This window comes from Homo sapiens, chromosome 12 (assembly GCF_000001405.40).
Source record: "Homo sapiens chromosome 12, GRCh38.p14 Primary Assembly".
NCBI lineage: Eukaryota > Metazoa > Chordata > Mammalia > Primates > Hominidae > Homo > Homo sapiens.
The window spans coordinates 17,556,914-17,561,375 of NC_000012.12; positions in this window are offsets into that span (position 1 = coordinate 17,556,914).

The window sequence follows — 4,462 nt, forward strand, 5'->3', positions numbered from 1 at the left end:
CACATAGCATCTTCAGTCACCAATACTTTAATATTTCCTGTTTAAAGTTACTTTTCTCTTAGAATGAATAACTTGCTGGAAGTTGTTTTATTCCTGGAAGTCACAACTTTTCTGTTCCTCTGATAGCGTTAGATCAATGAGCATTGGTTCATCAAATACATAACATCCTTAAATTTCTGTTCAAAGCATTTCCACCCATATTTTCAAGAAGCAGCAGTCAGCTATCGATTATATCTGATTGTAAAAATACAAGTTAGACAATATAAATGTCCTGAGCAGAAGTTTGTAAATATTTTGAACATATGTACCCCAACACAAATATTGCCTTTTCTTTCAACTTCAAATAAACTTAACAACATTGATTCACATATATATTATCTGTCAATTTCTCTAAATCTTTTAGTTCTACAGTCTTAACAATTAGGCCAATTAAGAAAGCAATAGCTTAGGAAGTATCTGAATATTTACGGTAAAATTTTTGCTTCTGTCACCCATTTCTCCAGTAAAATTCTGCTTAATTCCTCCATTAATGGACTCACCTAATTCCCAGTTAAACCTTTTATTTTTTCCTTTTTTACAGCTAGTTTGATTAAAAAGTAACAGACACAGGTTCTTTGGCTGCCAAACATTAAAGGAAAAAAATTTAATTTTTAAATTTATTTTACATATATGTTACTGTTTTGGGATACCAGAAATATTTGTTACCCCAATTTTCTTTTTTTTTGAAAAACAAGATAGTATTAACCACATGTCTAAGATACAATTTCTTATATTTCTGTGAAAATGCAGCTATAGATGTCATCATGAGTAGGGACCTTTATAGTGTCATAAAAATTCAGTGTCACTATAAATTTATGCTGCTGAAAATGTCGACATTTATGGCAACTTCTACAAGGACATATTTTAGAATGATACTAAAACTTGATACAGCAACTTTTATTTATTTAAAAAGTAAAATTACAAACAAAAACATTTACTCTAATTTTTGAAATTGTCAATACGGATAATTAATTTTTAAAATTCTCAAATCACATCAAGGTTTGAGGGGTACTTAAAAATCATACCAATCAAAATTAAAAAGCATGAAAGCATGTTCATGTATTATTCAAATGTAACAATTGATGCATATAATTAATACTTATTTACAATGTTAATATAGAGTTTTAATACCTGATGATGCTATTAACAATGCAAGCATATGATGATGCTTATTTAAGAATTATACTAATCACAGCTCTATATCAGCAAACTTTTAACTCATTTCATATCCTGGGGCAAAGCACAGTTATTATTTCGATGAATTTAAAAAATATATAAGGATTGTCCCAATTCACCAATTCATGCAGAAGGATGATTCTATGTTTAGCAATAAAAGTTTCTTTGCAATAAGAAGAGTAAGCTCATTGAATGGTCTATTTTTGGCAACTACAGAAGAACCAAAGGAACTTCACATTCAAACTCAATATCTAAGTCAGAAAAGCTGCTAAATAGTTATTAGATATATTTTGACATATTAGACAATATTTGACATATTTTGACAGTGCTGGTGGTAGATGGGAAATTGGCAAAGATTGGAAATTTCAAACCAGGATCCTTTTTCCCCTCTCTCCATAGCTGGGTAACCTGACACCCACCAGGAGGCTCAGCGTTATCATGGAAAAAATGCCATATTTACAATTAGAAATTCAAAGAGCTCTAGTCTACCCCTAGAAGATAGACGCGTTGTACCTTGGGCTCAGACACCATCATACAGTTCCTATGTATAAGACATTGATATATATAGACGTTTCCTGAGGTCAATGCTCATATTTAATTAAGTTATGGTACCTGGATAATTTTATTTTTCCTACATACATATTTTGAAATGTGTTGTTGTAAAATGTGAGTGATTTTTATTTTTTAGATAGGATGTCTGGGCTACAAACTAATAAAATACTATCAATATGTTACAGATATATTTTTACCTAGTTTGTTGTACATCATTGTATTTGAAGGCATTCAGGTATGATCTCTCAAACAAGTAAGTACGTTATTTATTTGGAACAGGTAAGGAGTTGAGAAGTAACTTCTGAAAGCTCATATGGTTGCTCAGACTTCCTGCAACCAATTGATATCTCTCAATGCAATAAAAAGAAATTAGTGATTACCACTTCCAGGAATGTAGAATAGACATGTGTTTCTTTTTTTCTGTCTCTTTTTTTTTTAATTATTACACTTTAAGTTTTAGGGTACATGAGCACAATGTGCAGGTTTGTTACATATGTATACATGTGCCATGTTGGTGTGTTGCACCCATTAACTCGTCATTTAACAATAGGTATATCTCCTAATGCTATCCCTCCCCTCTCCCCTGACCCCACAACAGGCCCTGGTGTGTGATGTTCCCCTTCCTGTGTCCATGTGTTCTCATTATTCAATTCCCACCTATGAGTGAGAACATGCAGTGTTTGGTTTTTGTCCTTGAGATAGTTTGCTGAGAATGATGGTTTCCAGCTCCATCCATGTCCCTACAAAGGACATGAACTCATCGTTTTTTATGGCTGCATAGTATTCCATGGTGTATATGTGCCACATTTTCTTAATCCAGTCTATCATTGTTGGACATTTGGGTTGGTTCCAAGTCTTTGCTATTGTGAATAGTGCCGCAATAAACATGTGTGCATGAGTCTTTATAGCAGCATGATTATAATCTTTTGGGTATATACCCAGTAATGGGGTGGCTGGGTCAAATGGTATTTCTAGTTCTAGATCCCTGAGGAATCGCCACACTGACTTCCACAATGGCTGAACTAGTTTACAGTCCCACCAACAGTGTAAAAGTGTTCCTATTTCTCCACATCCTCTCCAGCACCTGTTGTTTCCTGACTTTTGAATGATCACCATTCTAACTGGTGTGAGATGGTATCTCATTGTGGTTTTGATTTGCATTTCTCTGATGGCCAGTGATGATGAGCATTTTTTCATGTGTTTTTTGGCTGCATAAATGTCTTCTTTTGAAAAGTATCTGTTCATATCCTTCACCCACTTTTTGATGGGATTGTTTTTTTCTTGTAAATTTGTTTGAGTTCATTGTAGATTCTGGATATTAGCCCTTTGTCAGATGAGTAGATTGCAAAAATGTTGTCCCATTCTGTAGGTTGCCTGTTCACTCTGATGGTAGTTTCTTTTGCTGTGCAGAAGCTCTTTAGTTTAATTAGATCCCATTTGTCAATTTTGGCTTTTGTTGCCATTGCTTTTGGTGTTTTAGACATGAAGTCCTTGCCCATGCCTATGTCCTGAATGGTATTGCCTAGGTTTTCTTCTAGGGTTTTTATGGTTTTAGGTCTAACATTTAAGTCTTCAATCCATCTTGAATTAATTTTTGTATAAGGTATAAGGAAGGGATCCAGTTTCAGCTTTCTACATATGGCTAGCCAGTTTTCCCAGTACCATTTATTAAATAGGGAATCCTTTCCGCATTGCTTCTGTCAGGTTTGTCAAAGATCAGACAGTTGTAGATATGTGATATTATTTCTGAGGGCTCTGTTCTGTTCCATTGCACTATATCTTTGTTTTGGTGCCAGTACCATGCTCTTTTGGTTACTGTAGCCTTGTAGTATAGTTTGAAGTCAGGTAGCGTGATGCCTCCAGCTTTGTTCTTTTGGGTTAGGATTGACTTGGCAATGTGGGCTCTTTTTTGGTTCCCTAGGAACTTTAAAGTAGTTTTTTTCCAATTCTGTGAAGAAAGTCATTGGTAGCTTGATGGGGATGCCATTGAATCTATAAATTACCTTGGGCAGTATGGCCATTTTCACAATATTGATTCTTCCTACCCATGAGCATGGAATGTTCTTCCATTTGTTTGTGTCTTCTTTTATTTCATTGAGCAGTGGTTTCTAGTTCTCCCTGAAGAGGTCCTTCCCATGCCTTGAAAGTTGGATACCTAGGTTTTTTATTCTCTTTGAAGCAATTGTGAATGGGAGTTCACTCATGATTTTGTTCTCTGTTTGTCTCTTATTGGTATATAAGAATGCTTGTGATTTTTGCACATTTATTTTGTATCCTGAGACTTTGCTGAAGTTGCTTATCAGCTTAAGGAGATTTTGGGCTGAGATGATGGTGTTTTCTAGATATACAATCATGTCATCTGCAAACAGGGACAATTTGACTTCCTCTTTTCCTAATTGAATACCCTTTATTTCTTTCTCCTGCCTGATTGCCCTGGCCAGAACTTCCAACACTATGTTGAATAGGAGTGGTGAGAGAGGGCATCCCTGTCTTGTGCCAGTTTTCAAAAGGAATGCTTCCACTTTTTGCCCATTCAGTATGATATTGGCTGTGGGTTTGTCATAGAGAGCTCTCATTATTTTGAGATACGTCCCATGGATACCTAATTTATTGCGAATTTTTAGCATGAAGGGTTGTTGAATTTTGTCAAAGGCCTTTTCTGCATCTATTGAGATAATCATGTAGTTTTTGTCTT